General features: G+C 34.8%; 1 annotated feature.

Annotated features, from left to right (window-relative positions):
* Positions 336–837: an enhancer, noted in NCBI's record as "H3K4me1 hESC enhancer chr4:63437219-63437720 (GRCh37/hg19 assembly coordinates)". NCBI's record gives its function as "activates a minimal SCP1, AML or CMV promoter by ChIP-STARR-seq in primed H9 embryonic stem cells {active_cell/tissue: H9 hESC(primed)}" and the evidence as "EXISTENCE:reporter gene assay evidence [ECO:0000049][PMID:30033119]".

A 22244-nucleotide genomic window follows, 5' to 3' on the forward strand; every position in this document is an offset into this window, starting at 1 on the left:
TCAAACAATCAGGCCCCTCTCCTGCAGGTCTGCTAGAGTTTGCTGGAGATCCATTCCAGACCCTGTTTGCCTGGGTATCACCAGTGGAGGCTGCAGAACAGCAAATTTTGCTGCCTGTTCTTTCCTCTGGAAGCTTCGTCCCAGAGGGACACATGCCAGATGCCAGCTAGAGCTCTCCTGTATGATCTGTCTGTTGGCCCCTACTGGGAGGTGTCTCCCAGTAAGGATACATGGGGGTCAGGGACCCACTTGAGGAGGCAGTCTGACCCTTAGCAGAGCTTGAATGCTCTGCTGGGAGGGCCACTGCTCTCTTCAGAGCCATCAAGCAGGGACGTTTAAGTCTGCTAAAGCTGTGCCCACAGCTGCTCCTTCCCCCAGGTGCTCTGTCCCAGGGACATGGGGATTTTATTCATAAGTCCCTGACTGGGGCTGCTGCCTTTTTTTCAGAGATGCCCTTCCCAGACAGGAGCAATGTAGAGAGGCAATCTGGCCACAGTGGCCTTGTTGAGCTGTGGTGGGCTCCGCCCAGTTCAAACTTCAACTGTGAGAGTAAAACTGCCTACTCAAGCCTAAGTGATGGTGCACTCCCCTCCCCCCAACAAGCTCGAGCATCCCAGGTTGGTATCAGAATGCTGCTGTGCTGGCAGCTAGAATTTCAAGCCAGTGGATTTTAGTTTGCTGAGCTCTGTTGGGGTGGCACCTGACGAGACAGACCACTTGGCTCCCTGGCTTCAGCCCCCTTTCCAGGGGAGTGAACAGTTCTGTCTCACTGGCATTCCAGGCACCACTGGGGTATGGGAAAAAAAACCTCCTGCAGCTAGTTCGGTGTCTGCCCAAACGGCTGCCCACTTTTTTGCTTGAAACCCAGGGCCCTGGTGGCATAGGCACCAGAAGGAATCTCCTGGTCTGCGGGTTGCGAAGACCATGGGAAAAGTGCAGTATCTGGGCTGGAGTGCAGGGTTCCTTAGGCTCAGTCCCTCACGGCTTCCCTTGCGTAGGGGAGAGAATTCCCCAACCCCTTGTGCTCCCCAGGTGAGGTGATGGCCCACCCTGCTTCAGCTTACCCTCTGTGGGCTGCACCCACTGTCCAACCAGTCCCAGTGAGATGAACCAGGCACCTCAGTTGGAAATGCCGAAATCACCCGCCTTCTGTGTTGATCTCGCTAGGAGCTGCAGCCCGGAGCTGTTCCTATTTGGCCATCTTGCCAGCAATCTCCACTAAAATTAAACTATAAAAAAAGTCTGTGTTTTAACATGATACAAAAGGCCGGGCGTGGTGGCTCACGCTTGTAATCCCAGCACTTTGGGAGGCTAAGGCGGGCGGATCACGAGGTCAGGAGATCGAGACCATCCTGGCAACACGGTGAAACCCCGTCTCTACTAAAAATACAAAAAAAATTAGCCGGGCGTGATGGCGGGCGCCTGTAGTCCCAGCTACTCGGGAGGCTGAGGCAGGAGAATGGCGTGAACCCGGGAGGTGGAGCTTGCAGTGAGCCGAGATTGCGCCACTGCACTCCCGCCTGGGCCACAGAGCGAGACTCCGTCTCAAAAAAAAAAAAAAAACATGATACAAAAATGCATGACAACTATCATTAGGCTGCGTTTTTTATATTTACACTAACATTTTATCTTCATGTTATACTGTTGTTAGAAGGGACAAATTATTGGCATTAATTTTTTAATGCTCAGATTTGAATCTGCTCTGATTGCCTATAGTTGAAGAGCAACAGTGGTTTTTAAAACACAAGTATTCATTTATTCCAAAAATATTTATTGAATGTATACATTATTACAGTAACTGTTTTGTGCATTACAGATGTAGCTCAGAACAACATGGAGAAGCAAAGGAGGAGAACCAAGAAAAACTGGCATCTTAGCAGAATGTATTTCAAGAAATAGAGGGTGATAAACTAACAAAATGATGGTAATAGATCTGGTAAAATAAACACCGAGGATTAACCGTGGAATTTAATACAGTGGTGATTATCAGTGACCTTGACAATGTTATTAGGGGAGTGGTGGTGGCAAGTGATGATTGGAGAGAGTTCAAGAGAGAACAGAAGGACAGGAAGTAGAAACAAGTATTGACAATTCTTTTGAAGATTTATTGTGAGGGAAGATGGGGAAAAAATCTTATTATCTGCAGAAGGGTGTAAGATCAGAGAAGAGTTTATGGTTTAAGATGGGAGATGTTAATGCATGATTTATCCTTAAGCCATGATTCATATGTGGAAGCAAAGACTGTAATGATGTAGAAAGCTCAAAATTGTAGGAGCATTGCCATTGAGTTTGCTCTTAGGATCCAAATCACACTTTGGAGTGATTGCCTACTGCATCTAGAGTGCAGGTGGAATATATAAACATTAATACAGGTTCATTGGCTGCTCTGGTGTTTGGCATAAGAGGGAAGATGGGAAGATCTCTGATTGATTGCTTTGTTTTTGCAGTGAAATAAAAATAATGTCCTCATCTGAGAGTGAATAAAGTGAATGAATAAGTAACTGAATGAACAAATACTAAATCAAGGATGGGTGTTAAATAATGCAATAAATTTTGAAAACAGAGTATTACAATATGAGCCATATATAAAGTGCTGATAAATGCAAAGCAAGAATATTATCAATTTGATCATTAAAAATTAAAAAAAGAATATTATCAATTGAATTAAAATATAAGTCTCTCCTAAACATAATAAACCTTTAAAATATAGAATTTCAACAAAATGAAAGCTCAAATAATTAACTAGTCTATGATAGACAATGATAATCCCAATGTTTACAATGCTGATTGACCCTGACATACATAAGATTCTCAAGAGCTTTATGATTCAATGAGTTTAGTCTGTACAATTAAACTATTGTATATTCTATTCTATTAAAAATTGTGTTAAGTCCATGACTAGCAATTCTCTGCTATTTAAGGCTATAAAAATGTTCCCATGAGAGAGAGAGTATTTGGAAATAAGGCTCAGTTACTGAGGTGAATCTTTCCGTGTCTCTCAGAAGTGAGTCTCAAACAAGGCAAAGATTTCAGTTTTGAACCTGCAAGTCACTGAATTTACATTATCATTATGAATCACGTTTAAAAATATATGGTATTTTGGAAAAAAAAATCTTTGTTAGTTAAGAAGAAGAAATAGAGGAAAGAAGGAAGAAAAAATACCCTGAGACCTCACAAAAGGAAATTTTTATTAACATGTTGGTAAAATAGTAATGTGGAAGTGTGTTTTCTGTGTATGGCTTATCTTGTTCCTATGCCTCATTTCTGCTCAATTAAGTGCAGTGTTTGGTAGGACTTGTAATTCTTGAAATGCTCCACATATTAATGATCACTGAAAAGCTTATTCCTGCTATCTTTGCTTTTCCACTTCTAACAAATATCTTTTGAAAATGGCCACGCTGAAGACCTAAACCTTTGAGCGTACAACTGCATTACTCACTGATGGCTAATGAAGGAGACAAAAATAGAAAAAGCAAAACAAAAAATTAATGGCATATGATTTTATAAGATATAGTATTATATTCCATAGGATATTGTAATTTGTGTATGGTATAGTAGAAAAATACCAAACTAAGTTTGAATATTGATTCTGTCACTAACTAATCCTGTGTCCTTGAAAGAATCTTTTTACCTCTCTTAAAATATGTATCTTCATATTAAAGTGTAATGATATCTAGCTCAAAATATACATGCAGGTAATAAGTGAAATCTTGTCATGTGTGTAACTGTTTCTGATACACTTTGGTACCTTTGATTTTGTTTTTCATTGTGGCAAAATTTACATGCAGTGAAATGGATAAATCTTAAGTATACAAATCAAGAAGCTTCAATAAATTCATAAAAACTATAACCAACTCCTAAATGAAATATAGAATATTTTCATGACTCCAGAAATTTTTCTCATGCACTTTTCCAGTCAATACTCACCATTATATGAAAATATTGTTTTAATTTCTGTCCCTACAGTTTATATTGGTCTATTTTGGCATTTCACAGTAACACAATAAGTGGAATGAAACAGTATGTACTCTTTTACGTTTGAATTCTTTTGACACACACACATGCACATATGTGTGTATGTTTACATATATCAAGAGAAGCCAAATATGTGTGTGCATTTATATTTATGTATTATATATAAATGCACATATGAGTAGCTCATCCCCTTTGATTTTTGATTAGCATACTCATAATTATATTTTTATTTTTGATATATTCTCCTGTTTTTGAGAAATTGAGTTTTCTTTTTTGAGATATAATAAACACAGTTGCTATGATTCATTCAGTGGCCAGCGTTTTCCATTTTCTTGGGTAAATACCTAGTAATGGAATTGATCAGGAAAAGTCTACATGTATGTTGTCTTTTATAAGATATTGCTAATATATTTTCTATATCCTTGCCCAACATTTGTTATTGTCGATCTTTAAAATTTTAGTCATTTTCATGGTTGTTAAATATTATTATATTATGGTTTTAATTTTATTTTTCCTGATGTCCAATGATGCTGAGAATGTTTCCTACACTTATTGATAATTTGTATATCATTTTTTGTGAAGTGTCTATTGAAATATCTGGATGTTATTTGTTAAATTTTACTTTTTATTATTGATTCATAGGAATTATTTATATATTCTGGATAAAAGTTATTTTTCAGAGGCATGGATTATAACTGGTTATTTCTAGTTTGTGACTTGCCTTTTCATATTCTTAATGATATTTTCTTCCTTTCATTCCTCCTTCTTTTCCTTCCTTCTTCCTTCCTTCCTCCTTCCTTCTTTCCTTCTTTATTCCTTCTTTCTCTCTCTTTTTCTCCTTCCTTTCATTCTTTCCTCTTTCCTCTTTCTCTCTTCCTCTTTTTTCTTTCTTGTATTTTTTTATGAGCAAGCGTAGCAATAATTTTAAATTGTAATTTTGGTCTTGAGAAATCTTTGCTCATACTAAGATCACAAAAAAATTCTACATTTACTCCTGGAGTCTTTACAGTTTTACATGTAGGACTATGATCTATCTCAAATTAATTTTTGCTCATGGGATGGAGACTGGACTCGAGTTAATTCTTTTACATGTTTATCTTATTGTTCCACAATGACTTTTTGTAAACACTATACTTTCCATAATTGAATTATCTTAGTATCTTGTTGAAAATAATTAATGTGTTGATCTATATGTGGACTCTATTATATTCAACTGATTTGTCTGTCTGTAATTGCATGTGACATGCTGTCTTTAAAAATGTGTCTTTTTACTAAATTTTGAAATTAGGTAATGTGGGTACTCAAACTTTGTCCCTGCTTTTAAAGATTATTTTAACTACTACAGGTCCTTTGCATGTTAGTATACTTTTGAGAATGTACTTTTTATAGTGTTATTTTCTACAAAAACTCTCAGGATTGCATTGAATCTATAGACCAGTTTGAGGAGAAATGATATTGTAGCAGTATTAAGATTTCCAATTTATTAAGTGGTAGATATTTTATTTGTCTTTAATTTCTATCAGCAGTGTTCCATAATTTTCAGTTCCAATGTAGAGTTTTTGTAAGCTTTTAACTAAGTTAGTTCTAAGTATGTTTTTAAATATTATTTTAAAATTTCCATTTGCGATGGACAATTGTTTTTGTATATTGGTCTTTGCAAACTTCATAAACTTATTTATCTTTGTCATTACTTTTATAGATTCCTTAGGATTTTCTGTGTAATCAGATATGTTGTCTGTGAGTAGAGACAATTTTATTCTTCTCAATATGTAGAACTTTTATTTTTTTCTTCATTTATTTCAGGAATTAGAAACTCTAGAACAATTCTGAGTAGAACAGCTAGGAGTAGACAGCCATTATTATCTTGTTCTGAATATCAGAAGGAACGTGTTCCCTCGTTCACCACTGAACATAATGTTACCCTTATTTTTTTGTGTCAGTGCCCTTTATCAAATTGAGGAAATTCCCTTTTATGCCTGCATTGCTGAGAATTTTTATGTCTTAAATTTTGCAAAATAATTTTTATGCTAAAAATAGAAAATAATGTAATCTTTCTCCTTGATTCTGTTCATGTGATGGTTATATTTATTGATTTTTTGAATGCTAAACCAGCCTTCTGTCCTAATGCTAAACCAGCCTTCTGTCTCAATGCTAAACCAGCCTTCTATAATATCTTCACTATCTTGAGATAAATTCCACTTAGTCATGATAAATTATCATTTATATAGTGATGGATCGATTATTTCAATTCTTCGTTAAAAAATTGTATTTCTGGCCAGACGCAGTGGCTCACGCCTGTAATCCCAGCACTTTGGGAGGCCAAGGCGCATGGATCACGAGGTCAGGAGATTGAGACCATCCTGGCTAACACAGTGAAACCCCCTTCTCTACTAAAAATACAAAAAATTAGCCGAGCGTGGTGAGTATACTGAACTTGTAAAACAAATAAGTCTTAAAGGGTTTCCTGCTTCTCTACTTGTGGAAGAAATTGTTTAGTACTTCCTTTATTTTCTTTTTAAATGCTGAATAGAATTTCCCTAAAAGATAATCTGGGCCTGTGATTCTCTTTGGGGGATGTTTTCTTTTATAAAATAAATTAAATTTGGTAAATAGATGTAAGGCAATACCAATTTTTAATTTATTATTGTACTTGTTTTGTTGTAAAATTTATTACTATAAATGTTTTCACAATTTAATTGTTATTCAGGGTTGTTATGTTGTATACATTAGCCATAAACCCTGTGTTAGCAAATACTGAGCCATTGTTTCTAGGGTACATGCAGGGTTAGGTTCTTACAAGCCTCTAGTCACATTTTCATCAACTAATGAATACATAAATATATTTTTAAGTGTTTTTGTCAAAAGACAGATTATTTAATATATAGTTGGTTCATTAATGTTGAACTCATCACCTATATCATTATAACTCATACCTGAATGAAGCTTATCTAACATAAATATTTTCTCTATAAGGCACATCACATCTTTGTTCTTAAGAATGCTAGACAACCAGAACTAAGCGTGAAAGCCATTTAAAAAGTGAAATTGCTAACAAAAAGTACAAAAAAGCAAAAATATATGGCACCAAATTGACCCACCAAAAGAACACTTGTTTGCAGTATGAGAGCTAAAATAAGAAGACAGAATATTGTCTTGTTTAACCTCAGCTGGAATGTGCAGGTTGGTTGACTCCAATTTTCACTGCTCTGTCCATGTCTGAATTATCATGGGGGGCTGTAAGTATAGGTTTGGGGTTACAAATAAATTTTAACACAGAAGTGAATTCACAAATATACATCCACAAATAATGAAGATGAAATGTATTCTCATTAGCCCTCTCTTCGTTCCATTTACTACAGATGTGTTTTCTCTCTTTTTTTAAAAAAATATATTTTTAGGGGTTCAAATGACCGAAATATGGCTTTGTTAATATATTCCTTTATATGTCCAATTTCTGTGTTTGATTTTGAAAATCTTCATTATCTTTTACTTTCTTCTTATTTTGTGTTCAGTTGCTCTTATTTCAATAGAGTTTCGAGTTAGAAATTTAGTTTTCTAAAACACTTCTTGTGTTGTAACCTCAGCATATAAATATTTATTTTAGTAGTCTCCTAGATCAAATCCACACATTTTGATATGTTGCATTTTAGATAGAATTAATTTTAAAGTATTTTCCATCTTCCCTTGTGATTGATTTCACCCATGGATTATTTAGAAGTATATTATTTAAGTTTAAATGTTTGGGAAATTCTAAAACACCTTGTTATTGATTTCAAATTTAATTCACTGTGGTCATATAAGATACTTCTTACAATTTAATCATTTAAATTTAATAAGATATTTGTAGTTCAGCATTGTTCTATAAAAGTCATGCCACTTGGTATTATTATTTAAGTATTATATACATTTATTGACTTTGCATCATATTGTTTATCAATTGTCAAAATAAGGTCTTAAACTATCCCACTGTAATTGTGAATTTGTCTGCATCTTTCATGTAACTCAAGATTCTGTTATTAGTTGATGCTTATTTAGGATGATTATGCCCCTTTGGCGAATTGCTCTTTTATTCACATTAATGTCCCTCTCACCCCTTGTAATATTTCTCATTTTCAATTTAAGTTTTCCTTATAGAAATGTATGCGTTCTGGGTTTCTTTTTATTAATATTTGCATAGAATATATTTTTCTATCTTATATTTAACCAACTCTGTCCTATTTAAAGCAAATATCTTATAGAAACAGTTTCTTCCTTGTTCAATTCAGTGTGATAATCTCTGCCTTTTGTTAGATATGTTGAAATTTATTATAATTATTTTTGTAGCTGCATTTAGTTCTACTAGTCTGTTTTTTTATATTTGTCATGATTCTGCTTTTCTCTTCTTCGTTTGCTGCCTTTTATCTGGTAACTATTATTTTGAGTCCATTTTAATCTATTTTCTTTTAATTCTAGTTTTTGTATTTTTAGTGGTGGTCTAGGTATCACAATACATATTCATAATTTATCAGTCTACTCAGAGCTCATATTGTAACAGGAATGTAAAAATGCAAGACTCATGCAGTAGATCCAATATTAGTGATACTGTTATTTACATCTATTATAATATAATATAATATAATAAGTATGGGTTTATATATAACTCCACATTACAATGTTGTAATGTTAAACTGTTACTTGTTTTAATAATAAAGAGGATAAGGATGGTATTTGTATATTTTTTATATTTATTCATACATTTTCTATTTCTTCTTTCTTGTAAATCTGAGATTATACTTTGTGCCATTTTATTTCAGCTTCAAGAACTTCATTTAGATTTTTTTTTTGATACTTTAGGCCTTATAAGGTTAGAGTCTCTCTGGTCATGTTTACCTAAACATATCTTAATCTTTGTTTTGGAAAGTATTTAATATATATGTATATTATATATATGTTAATAAAATGTGTGTGTGTGTATATATATATGTTTTCTTTCAGTATATTATATATATCATATCACTGACTTATTTCCTTTCTGTTTTTAATGATAATTTAGCCAGCATTATTATGAATATTCTCCATTTTGTAAAGTGTCTTTTTTTCTTTAGCACATTTCACAATTTTTATCATGTTTGGCTTTCTGCAGTTTGGCTATGATGTTGCCAGATATGGGTTTATTTGTATTATAAAGACTGGAGTTATCTGAGCTTCTTAGATATGTAAGTTATATATTCTATTATCTCTTCAAATATTATGATTATTATTTTACATTTCTATTGTCTTCTTCTGAATATATATTACACATATCTTCATTTGATTGTTTTCTCAATTTTATTTCTCTCTGTTTTCTATATTGCAGATGTTTTTTTAACTTCTTTATATTTCTTCTGTCTCTCTCTTTTTCCTTCTCTTTCAACTTTAATATTCTCTTAAGATTGTGAATTTTTAAATTTAAATATTATACTTCCTATCCTAGAATTTCCACTTTCTTTTTATAATTTCCATTTATCTGTAGAAATTATTTATCTGTTTGATTATTATGACCAGATTTTCTTGTAATTCCTTGAACATTTTATAATAGCTGCTTTAAAGTTCATGCTTTCAGTCTAACATCTATGTTATCTAAGGGTTTATTTCTTTGTGCTACTTCCTTTCTTTGCTACAGGTTAAATTTTCCAATAGTTTCTTCTTATGTTTATTCATTCTTTCTCCACAAGTTTATTCTTTTTTATGCTATCTGGACGATTTATTTTAGGCACTGGTTTCTGTCACCTTCCTGTGAAAAATTTGTGCTCAAAATAGTAGTTAAATAACTGGATGACTACCTTAATTCCTGAAGTTTTGGTTTGATGGTTTCTTAAAGCAGGTCTGTATTTATTTTGCCCTTAATCCCACAGTAAATTTCTTAGACTTGCGCAACAGGAATGGCCATTCTTGGATATCAGTGGAAAATCCAACATGTTTACCAAATAGCTAATGTGTACCAATTTCTGTCTCTCTAGTGCTGAGTGGCAACATATTGCTTTTTGTTGCAGTCCTTGAAGTCTCCAACATGCATGTACAGTTTCTTGAACTTTTATATACAGGTTTTAGGGTTGCCAACTGTGTGTTTTCCTTTTTTCAGTTTTATCAAAAGTCTGGCAGCCCCAAACTTTGTCTTGTGCTACCTCAACTTAATAAATCTGTGACCATTTTTCTTTAATTTTAGCTTCCCTATACCATTCAGATTTGGGAATGCCCTCAGGGGAAAATATGTATAAACATAGATCTAATTCAATGCAGTTTCTTTCTTTCAAGAGTCAAATTCCCCTTAGTTACTGTCTGATTTTGGTAAGTCTATGATGCCTTTTATACTTTATTCAGAGGTAATGCTTATCCACACAAAAGCCAGTCCAATAAAAGTTATACCTCCATTTCTAGTCTTTCGTTCCTTTTTGTGGAAATGATTAGTAATATCTATATTGTCACTAGTATTTACTAGTACATACTAAAGTATAAAGATTGGATCTGTAAACTACTGTGTGTTATATAAGAAAGATATTTTTAAAATGAGGTGCTATCTGATATACATTAAGAGATATTTTAGAGTATATTAAATATACTAGGCAATTCAAGACAAATAAAATTTTACTTAAATAAAATTTAACCTACTAATCAAATTTTTAGTTAAGCAGAATTTAGTCTACTACTACATGTACTTTCCTCAGGAAAATACACCATTAGGTAATTTCTCTTTTAAGTATTTGTTTGTAAAAAAATAAAATGAATTTCAACTATAATTATTTATAAGGCTGTTAGTAGCAACACAAAATAAACTTTGACTGAGAACTCATAAAATTTGAAATAAATGTTGTCTCTGATTACATAGATTAAACAAAATAAAGCCAGATGAGGGAAATAAAATCTGTTCCCACTAGTACTCACTGATAAACAAAAAGAAAGTCTTAGAAGCTACAGAAACCTTTGAGAAAAGAGAATTTCAAGATTAGAATTGTGACATTTTAAAGTGGACTAGACTTGTTAGCATGAAGTAGTGCTCTCTATTGTCATCAATGGGAGTAATTAAAATTAAGTAGTTTTTTCAAAATAATTTTATATTTTAAAATTTATTTTTCATCTAAATAAATTAGGCCTTGAGTTTTAGATAGAGTAAGTTATTTTGATCTTCAGAATATTCTCGATTTTGCACTTCAGTATTTCTTGATCTTTATTCCTAGGGTCCAAGAAGAACTCCTTCCAGATCCCCCTCTGCTGGGTATTCGTCCAATCTCAAATTATCTGTGCAGGTCATCTAAAGTAGATCTTTTTTCATTGTGATCTGATTTAATTGATATAAATTCCCAACCACACTGGCAAGATCAACTATATCATATTATCTTTATTTTGTAAAAGGAAATTGCAAGACATAGAACTGCACTTTCACAGTTAAGTGAATGGGAATATTGAATGAGTTGTTCTAATCTTGCACATCGTGTCTATAACACTGCGCTGTTATACCCATAGTCACCTCCAGCTGAGCTTGGAAATGTGAGAACCTCACAGCAAGCAATATTTACCCTATACTGTTGTGAAGTTCACTCTTCACCAAAGCTTCTACAGCACCCCTAGTTGCAGGTATAAAATACAACTCTCTCATCATTTTTTCCCCTTACATTGTGTCTCGTTTGCCATTTTGACAGCCAAACATCCCACAAAGGATTTAAAGGACAGACTTTCAAAGAGTTCAGAGGAAATATATCCCCCACTCTCTTCCTCTAGGCAGCTTTTATTTTACATCTGGAGCTTTGGATATTTTATTCTGTAAACTTCTGGCACACATTTTCTTCTGAGTTGTACCCTACCACATGCTGTAATTCTATACTAGAAAGGAAGAAAGGAGCCCTCGTCCTTCTGGTACACTGTTAGCATTTTATTACTTAACTTCTCCCATGTCTGGGTAGAGCAGCCAAAATTTGTTGTTGTTATATTTCCAGTTCACACAAGCATTTAATTTTTTACTCAAATAACTGCAATTGGAAAAGAAAAAAATATTGGGGATGTTTTTGGGGTTAGAGTTAGTAGAGTTGGACTGGCAATGCTTTCTTGAAAAAAAAAAGTAAGGAGTCTGGTTGTTGGAAGAATTATTTTTGCGTAGTAAGTGATATTAACATGAAACTAAAACCAAATTATTATTCGACAAACTTATTTCAGGTCTACTATGTTCAAGGAAGTCTGGTAGATACTGAGTAAAAATTAGGAAAGATCATTACATTGAATATCTTTATAGATATTAATTTGCAATATAATTTAGAGGCTTGAGGCATAAGGTGAGAAAAAAAATCCATTACTATTATTACTTTCACGAGGCTTACCCAGTCCTTTTATTCCTCAAAGATCTCTTGCCTTGACCATCAGAGCTAAAGGTTCCAATGTAAGGAGTGCTTCCCAGCCACTTTTAAACTTTCAGATGCTCAAAGAATATGCTTGTTGATCTATGAAAGAGTTTGTTCTTGGATTTCATATATGACTATCATATTTTTAAACTAATTAATGTCTTTGTTAGTTTTTCTAATGTTTTTACAGGCATTTTTGTCTTTTATATTTAGAATACAGTAAGTCATAATGTGAAGGGTACAGCGAATAGGATATGCCTAAAATTAGGGAAGTAAAGTTATTTAATTTCTTACAAAAACTGACTTTGCAGTAAGTCATTAGGGCACAGTAAATTCCTCAATAAAATCTGTAAACTTTAAATCAGAACACAAAGAAACTGAGAGTTATTTTAAAACTCACTGTTCACATAAATATATACAATGATTTTTTGCCAATTAAAAATAAATAAAAAAATTAATTTAAAAATCACTGAGTCCCCAAACTCCAAAATAAAAACGAGACCAAAACAAAAAAGCAAAACTCAAATAGGTAAAAGTCATTATCAGTAAATAGGGAAGACAAAAAAAATGAGTTTAATTTTAAGGAAACCTCAGAACTATTTCTCTTCATGTATGTCAAAAACAATTCCCTTTTTTTCAGAGCAAATACATTAGCTATGCAACCCATTACTTTAGTAATTTGAAAGCAGCTCACAATAGATAAGGAGATGGAAATGGGTGGATAATCTCATCCAGAGAAGAAATTCACAGTGTAACTCTTCTAATTTAACATAATACTTCAAAGAAAAGACAGAACAGAAAAATCATAATCATATCACTACCCCTTTACTTTGTCCTGTACTTTACATAAACCTCAACAAATTGATTTTTCTACTGCCAATCAGGGTCTCAAAAGATAGCTTTATGGTGTGGGTTTCATAAATGTTCATCTTAAAATAAGAATTAAATAGGAACTGGATAAAATTGGGATTATGCACAGCAGTGTTTTTAGGAAATAAATGATGATTTTTATCTTTGTATCTTCATCAACTAAAAAGAAGAAGAAGAAAAAAAAAGGAATCCAGAAGAGGCAGTAAGCTTTTGACTAGAGCAATTATGTTAAAAACTTTTACTTTTAGTACTCTTTTATAGTCTTAACACATTACTGAGTACCCCAAAAGCTTTTATTCAAATGAGTTATGTCCATTAATATCTTTCGTGTTGGAAATTAAAACAAAATTTTAACTATATATTTGTTTAAAATTAATAATGTTGATTATGATAACATAAATACATATTTTAAATAAAATTACTATTTTTTTTTTGAGAAGGAGTCTCCCTCTGTTGCTCAGGCTGTAGTGCAGTGGCACAATCTCGGCTCACTGCAAGCTCTGCCTCCTGGGTTCACGCCATTCTCCTGCCTCAGCCTCCTGAGTAGCTGGGACTACAGGCACCTGCCACCACGCCCGGCTAACTTTTTGTAGTTTTTAGTAGAGACAGGGTTTCACCATGTTAGCCAGGATGGTCTTGATCTCCTGACCTCATGATCCACCCACCTCAGCCTCCAAACTGCTGGGATTACAGGCGTGTACCACCGCGCCTTGCCCAAAATTACTATTTTTGAAGTAAGTGAAACATAATTAGTGAAAAATAATGTTAAGATATTTTTGCAGTCTGGGTGTGGTGGCTCATGCCTATAATCTCAGCGCTTTGAGAGGCTGAGGTAGGTGGATGCTTTGATCCCAGGAGTTCCAAACCAGCTGGATAACATGGTTAAGTCTCATCTCTACAAAAAATACAAAATGTGCTGGGCATGGACATATGTGTCTGTAGTCCAGCTGTTTGGGAAGCTGAGTGGGGAGGATCACTTGAGCCTGGGAGGTCAAGGCTGCAATGAGCAGTGATTGTACCACTGCACTGCAGCCTGGGTGACACAGTAAGACCCTGTCTCCAAAAAAAAAAAAAAAGATATTATCGCAAATCTCTTTCATATCTGGCATAATAGCCTATGGTGCTATGATCTGAATGTTTCTGCTTTCCACAAAATTCATTTATTGAAAACTAATGCCCAATGTAATAGTAGTATGAGAGGGGACATTTGGGAGGGTGATAAAGTCATCACCTAATCACCTTAACCACAGCTGTTATGAAGGAAATTGATGCTTGTATAAAAGAAGCCCTAGATAGATCCCTTGCCCCTTCTGCAACATGAGGGCATAGCTAGAAGGTGCTGTCTATGAGGAACAAGCTTTCAACAGACAACAAATCTGCCAGTGCTTTGATCTTGGACTTCCCAGACTCCAGAACCGTGAAAAATCAATGTTTTTTTTTTTTTGTTTGTTTGTTTATAAGACACTCAGTTTACGGTATTTTATTATAGCAACTCAAATGAACTAATAAGACACATAGCTTTTCTTATTTGTTTTTGGATTCAACCTGCTGTAACGTTATTTTGGTTGAAAAACATGAAGAAAATCTGGCCCTACACAGATATGTATTTGGAAATGGGAAAATTATTTCAATAACCTTTTCAGATATTTTAGAATATTCTTCTTTGATTCTACATCAAAATGCAAAAGTAGTAATTTTTGTGTCAATTACTATATGGAGTATTAAATAATATCAATGTACTTCCTGTACACTGTTACCTGAAAGTCTTCTATTTATTTTTTGTACTCTGATTTTATCATTTACCAGTGCAGTATTTTCTTATATCATGCATTAGTCATTTGGAAAATACTTGTTCACTGAGTAAAGAAAGTTTTACAAATGTTGGTACATTTCATAATATATATCAAATATCAAAATGTCACTTTCGTTATATCACCTCTGATCTCATCAGAATATTTTATATCTATTGAGAAACTGTTAAGCTCACAGTAATAAATACACACTCTCCTAGATTCAATTTTTTGCTTGAAATCATGGCAACTACCCTGTCACTTGACTTCCTTCACATGCCAAGCTCACCCTGTTCATTTCTGAGAAAATGTCTACTAGAAGCTCAAGTCTGAATAACCATAGTTTGTCCATCATTCTATCAAGTAATAACAGTCTTTTATGAAAAAAATTTCTTGCTGTGGCTTAAACAATCACACAAGTACTCAAATTTTTATACAAGATTTCTGTGAGAGACAACCCTTATAGTTTCCTTTATAGCTGTGATGGTTAATACTGAGTGTCAACTTGATTGGATTGAAGGATGCAGTATTGATCCTGGGTATGTCTGTGAGTGTGTTGCCAAAGGAGATTAACATTTGAGTCAGTGGACTGGGGAAGGCAGACCCACCTTTAATCGGGTGGGCACAATCTAATCGGCTGCCAGCAAATATAAAGCAGGCAGAAAAACGTGAAGAGTCAAGACAGGCCTAGCCTGCCAGCCTACATCTTTCTCCCATGCTGGATGCTTCCTGCCCTTGATCATCGGACTCCAAGTTTTTCAGTTTTGGGAAGGCTGGCTTTCCTTGCTCAGACTGGCTTTCTTTGCTCCTCCACTTGCAGACAGCCTTTTGTGGGACCTTGTGATAGTGCAAGATAATACTTTATAAACTATCCTATATATATGTGTGTGTGTGTGTGTGTGTGTGTGTGTGTGTGTGTGTGTATCCTGTTGATATTTTCAATGTCCTGGACTAGATAGAATTGGTTTCTTTGGTGACTAGAGGATAGCAAATCTGAAACACATAACCCTAGTTATTCTCAAAGCCTTCAACATGGATTTTCAGAATTAAAAGATGATTTGAGATGTTGATTTTTTGTTTTCATGCTCTAGTCCACAAATTTTCACTGTGTAGTTTGGGATTCCTAGGGATTCTTTAGCATTTTTTTTTTGGACATAGAAAAAAAAATAAAGATAAAGCTATTTTAATAATAGAACTATTAAGAAAAGATAAAACTACTTTAATAATAATGCTAAGACATCATTTGTTTTTTCAATGTGTTCACAATACATTGAGGATGGAAAAGCACAGGTCGGTAAAACTGCTGGAAACTTAACAAAAATCAAAGCAGTGACTCAAAACTGTGTAAGTAGTCATTGCTTTCTTCAAAATCATGCCCTGGCAATGGAAAAAAAAATGAAAATTTCAACTGAGGATGTCTTTGATGAAGCAGTAAATATATTGATTTTAATAAATCTTAATCCTTGAGTACAAACATTTTGAATTTTCTGTGCAATTAAATGGAAATGTTTTTGCTGTAATTTAAGCATTTTAGCTGTTGTATTAGTCAGGGTTCTTTTAGAAGGACAGAACTAATAATTATATATATATATATCCTATATATCTATATCTATATCATATATATATATTTATATATATGAGAGTTTATTCCAGGAGAGAGAGCGAGCTGTGGGGAAGTGCCACACTTTAAAACCATTAGATCCCATGAGAATTCACTATCATGAGAACATCATGGGGAAAAAGGCCCCCATGATCCAATCACCTCTAACCATGTCCCTCCCCTGATATGGTGAAATAACAATTCAAGATAAGATTTGGGTGGGGACACAGGGCCAAACAATATCATTCTTCCCCAGCTCCTCCCAGATCTCATGTCTTTCTCCCAGTTCAAAATAAACCATGCGTTCCCAACAGTCCCTCAAAGTCTTAACTCATTCCAGTATTAACTCAAAAGTCTAAGTTCAAAGTCTCATCTGAGGCAAGGGAAGTCCTTTCTGCTATGAGCCTGTAAAATCAAAATCAAGTTAGTTACTTCCAAAATACAATGGGGGTACATGAAAATACTCCTATTCCAAATGGGAGAAATTGGCCAAAAGAAAGGGGCCACAAGCCCCATGCAAATCTGAAGTCTGGCAGAACAGTCATCAAATCTTAAAACTCCAAAATAATTTCCTTTGACTCCAGGTCTCACATCCAGGGTTACTGATGCACGGTGTGGGCTCCCAAGGCCTTGCACAGCTCCACCCCTGTGGCTTTTCAGGATACAGTACCTGTAGCTGCTTTCACAGGCTAGCGTTGAGTACCTGTGGCTTTTCCAAATGCACAGTGCAAGCTGTTGGTGGAACTACCACTCTGGGGCCTGGAGGATGGTGGCCCTCTTCTCATGGCTCCACTAGGAATGCCCCAGTGGGGAATCTGGGGCTCCAATCCTACATTTTCCCTTTGCACTACCCTAGTAGACATTTTCACAAGAGCTCTGCCCTTGCAGCAGAGTTCTGCCTGGATATCCAGGCATTTTTATACATCTTCTGAAATCTAGGCAGAATCTCCCAAACCTCAACTCTTGCCTTCTATGCACCTGCAGGCCCAACACCATGTGGAAGTCACCAAGTCTTGATGCTTACACCCTCAGCCATGGCCTGAGTTGTATCTTGGCACCTTTAAGCCACAGCTGGAACTGAAGCGACTGGGATGCAGGGCACCCAGAGGCTGCACAGAGCAGTGGGGACCTGGGTCAGGCCCACAAAACCATTTTTCCCTCCTAGGCCTCTGGGCCTGTGATAGGAGGGGCTGCCATGAAGATCTCTGAAATTCACTGGAGACATTTTTCCCATTGTCTTGGCAATTAACATTCTGCTCCTCACTGCTTATGAAAATTTTTGCCTCCATGATCCAATCACCTCCAACCAGTTCCCTTGCCTGATATGTAGGGATTACAATTTGAGATGAGATTTGGATGGCGATACAGAACCAAACAACCATGTCATGACTCATTTCCTTTTACAGTGTGTTCACATCTTCTATGCTCCCTGCCTGATAGGCACTTAGTACTTCTCTCGCTATCAGATCAACTGTGGCAGTATTAGAGTGCTTATGTTCAAAAACCCATTATTTTATTTAATAATAGCCTCAAAGTGTAACAGTAGTGATGCTGGCATATTTTTATACTTAAACTATTATTAGTTGTTGTTGTTAATCTCTTACTGTGCTTATTATAAATTAAACTTTATCATTGGTATGTAATGTGAACCCAAAAGTATCTGAGACAGATCTCAATCAATGTAGAAAGATTATTTTGCTAAGGTTAAGAATGCACCTATGACATAGTCTCAAGAATTCCTGATGACGTGTGCCCAAGGGGGTCAGGGCACAGCTTGGTTTAATACATTTTAGGGAGACATGAGACGTTAATCAATATGTGTAAGATGTATATTGGTTCAATCTGGAAAGGCAGGACAATTTGAAGCTGGACAGGGGGCTTCCAGGTCATAGGTAAGTAGAGACAAAATGTTGCATTTTTTTCAGTGTCTGATCAGACTTTCACTGAATGCACAATTTACATGTGAGAGGAGGGTAGAGGAATAGTCACTTATGCCTTAGTCTGGCTCAGTGAGACAATAGGGCAGAAGAAGCGATCAGATATGTATTTGTCTCACATGAGCAGAGGGATGACTTTGAGTTCTGTCTATCCTTTGTTCACAAGAAATTTCCTTGTGGGCAAATTGTGAGAGATTTGTAGCTATCTTATTTAGGAATAAAATGGAAGGCAGGTGTGCTGCTGCAGTTCCCAGTTTGACTTCTCTTTGGCATAGTGATTTTGGGGTCCTGAGACTAATTTTCCTTTCACAGTAAATATTAGGAAAAACTGTAGTATCTATAAGATTCAGTACTATCTGTAGTTTCCTGCTTCCACTGGAAGTGTTGGAATGTACCCCCATGGATAAAGGGAGGCATTAAGTAGCTAAATTGAACAATGACCAAAAAACAAAACTTACTTATGTGCTTTAATGTTATTTTACTGAAAGAACAATGATCACATAGCCATTGTTTTCAGGACTTGTGATTTATGCCTGATCCTGGCATAATTAAGAAATCCCCTTCAAGAAATCCTTCAAGAAATCCTTCAAGAAACCCTTTCAAGGAATCCCTTTTCAAGAAATCCCCTTTCAAAATTCCCTTTCTTCAAGGTTTCCCTGAGTGCATGATTGTATATGGTCAACTTACTTATAAGAGATCTGTAAAATTATTTCTCACATGTCCATGGCTTTAGAATCTTGTATTTGGCATCATGTGGGAAGTTAATTTCAATAGAATTTATAAAAATCCAGGCATAATAATATCAAATGAGTTAAGAAGTGTGGTTTCTGAAATAAATGACACAGAAAACAGATACATTTCTTTAATATTGACTAGTTTTCTTAATAAATTAAACCTTACATAAGTTTCAATATTAAAAAATATGCAAAAATAATCAGGGCAATTGCAGGGAAGAGGAAATGATGCAGTGGGCATAGATCTTGAGTCAGCACAGCATGTTGGTCACCTATTGCCATAATAGTGCTATGGAATGAACCATCTCAATATTCAATGGCTTGCAAAAACAAGGACTTATTTCTCTTGCTCAGATTTTTTTGGGTCAGCAGGATTAATTCAGCTCCAATCTATAGATTCACTGGGCTTGTTTACAGGTTGAAGACTGAATGAAGACATATTTCTATTTATTTATTTTTTTTGCCATTGTTACCCAGGACATGCTATCCTCATGGGTTATGGAAGAAGTCCAAGAGCCAAGCCAAATGAAGCAAGTACAGTTTGGTCTAATACTTATAGTGCACCCACTAAACTTAATTGTCCCAAGCAAATCACATGGCCAAACCTTAGCTCATTGGTGCAGAAAAGTATATGTCACCAACAGAGGGATAATACTGCAAAATTACATAGCAAAGGCTGTGGATATGTACTCTTAGTGCATGGAGATAAAGAATCTGTACTTCTCCCTTCTATCCCAAAATAAATAAAGAGAATTGCGGAGTATACTTATTTGGCTGTCTTACGAGAACTGAGGTTTTCAAGGTCCAAAAACAAAACAAAAAAAAAAAAGAAGAAGAAAAAGAAAAAAGAAAAACAAAACGTGGCACCAAGGGCTGAGGAAAACGTTCTTAGCTCCTTGCTATGGGATGAATTGTGCCCCCCAACAAGATGTGTTCAAGTCCTAATCCCAAGTACCTGTGACTATGACTTTATTTAGAAATAGGACATTTGCAGCTGTAATAAGATGGCATCACTAGAGTGGGGTCTAATCCAATATGTCTAGTGTCTCTGTAAGTAATGGAAAATGCCATGTGAGGACAGAGGGAGAGATTAAAATGGAGCAGGGGCAAGCCTAAGAGCCCCAAGGATTATTGAAAACCACCAGATGCTAACAAGAGGCAAGAAAGGATTCTCTCCTCTAGGGAGAGAGAGCCATGGCACTGATAACACTTTGATTTTGGACTTTTAGTTTCCAGAACTATAAGACAATAAATTTCTGCTGTTTTAAGCCACTCAGTTTGTGGTACTTTGTTACAGCCACCCTAGGAAACTAATATACCCTTTAATAACCACTTCCCTTGACATAGCCTGATGAGGAGGTAAATATATTGCATCAGCTTGGCAATAGTATCTCTCTGTTGCTGCTCAGATAATATAAACCAACAATTCTGGACTACAAAGAACTTGGAGTGAGTGCAAGATAGACAGCAATGATGCTGGCTTGGGAAAAGGCTCTTTGAAATTATAAGGATGCCATATATCAAAAGGGTCTTCTTGACCCTGAATGCTGCTGGATATTGGTAACTGAAGTGACTGAAATTCTTGGCAAAGTAGCAAAAGTGATGAATATAGTTGATGTTTGTGATGTAGCCGCTAAATGGGTTTTAGTGACGTTTGATGACAATAATTATTAGAGTGCTACAAGATGCATGGATGAAAACTTTCCAAGCCCTATCTTCCTCTTCCACCTCATAATAGTTAACCAAGTTGCCAAAGGGACTGTGGATAGTTGGCATTTTTTCATGTAGATCATTGGGGTTTTTTTTTTTTGGATAATTTTTATGTTTTCTACACTGTCTTGTTTGAATTTATCCGGATAATGGGTGCCATAAATAACTTTTACATTTATAGTATTCCTACTGATTTTCATGAAGATCTATTAGGAATCTAACCTTTAGTTTTTAGTTCTAGTTTTATTGTAAACATTCATACTATTTTCTGAAGCTAATTTGTAAAGGAAGTTCAATGATAGTACTACTTACTAAATTTCTTCCTCAGATAATATGATTTAGAGGATTATTTTCCAAGTAGGTCTATTTTAGAAATAATATTCTAGAAAAATGGATTCATAAGGATAACATAATGTTATGCTGCCACTTTACTTTCACATTGGAAGGCTCGTTTAGATCTCCAATCAAAAGCCAGTGGTATTTCATAACGTTCATATTTAAATTAATATAATACTGAATGAGAATAACTTAAATTGCATTAATTTTTTTTCATTTCTTGCTATACCTACCCTCAACATAGTCTGTTAGAACTGATAATTGAAGTGTTAAACTTTGAGGGAAAGAAGAGAGTCAAATACATGGTGCTTAGAAATGGCATATATATTTTTTTCTCAAAACCAGTTGTCAGTAAGAAATAACTCAAATAGAGTTTGGTTCTGTAGAGACCTTTTTTCCCTTAAATTCAATGCAAATATCTTCTAAATTTGGGGGAAATGACCTATGAATGACAAAAGATTTCCATTGCACTATTTCATTTTATTTTTATAAACATCTTAAGGAAAGGAAATGGAAAATGATATCATCTCTATTTTTGGAAGATAAACTAAGTTGTGAAAATTCTAGGATACTTTTCCAGGATCACATAGCTAGCTAGGATCATTGCAGGATGAGGATTAGAATTCATGTTTTATTCACTCACTTTTCATTTATTTATTCAATTGAGATATTTAATGCGGAGGACTGCTATTTTCTACTCTCATCGTAATGATATCTACTTTAGATGAAGATGAATATTTTGCTTGGGAGTGTGGGTTTTTATACATGGAACTTTAAAAATAGAAAGATGTTGATTTTCATTTAAAAATATCCAGTAGAAAGCTAGGGAGAGGATAAGAGAGCAATGAAAGGGAGAGAGAGAGAAAGGGAGAATAGAATAGCCCATATCCCAAAGAAAATAGGTGTGATGTTTTCTTAAGTTCTACTCACAAAAACAAAGGCAA

Source organism: Homo sapiens, chromosome 4 (assembly GCF_000001405.40).
Source record: "Homo sapiens chromosome 4, GRCh38.p14 Primary Assembly".
In the NCBI taxonomy this organism is placed as follows: domain Eukaryota; kingdom Metazoa; phylum Chordata; class Mammalia; order Primates; family Hominidae; genus Homo; species Homo sapiens.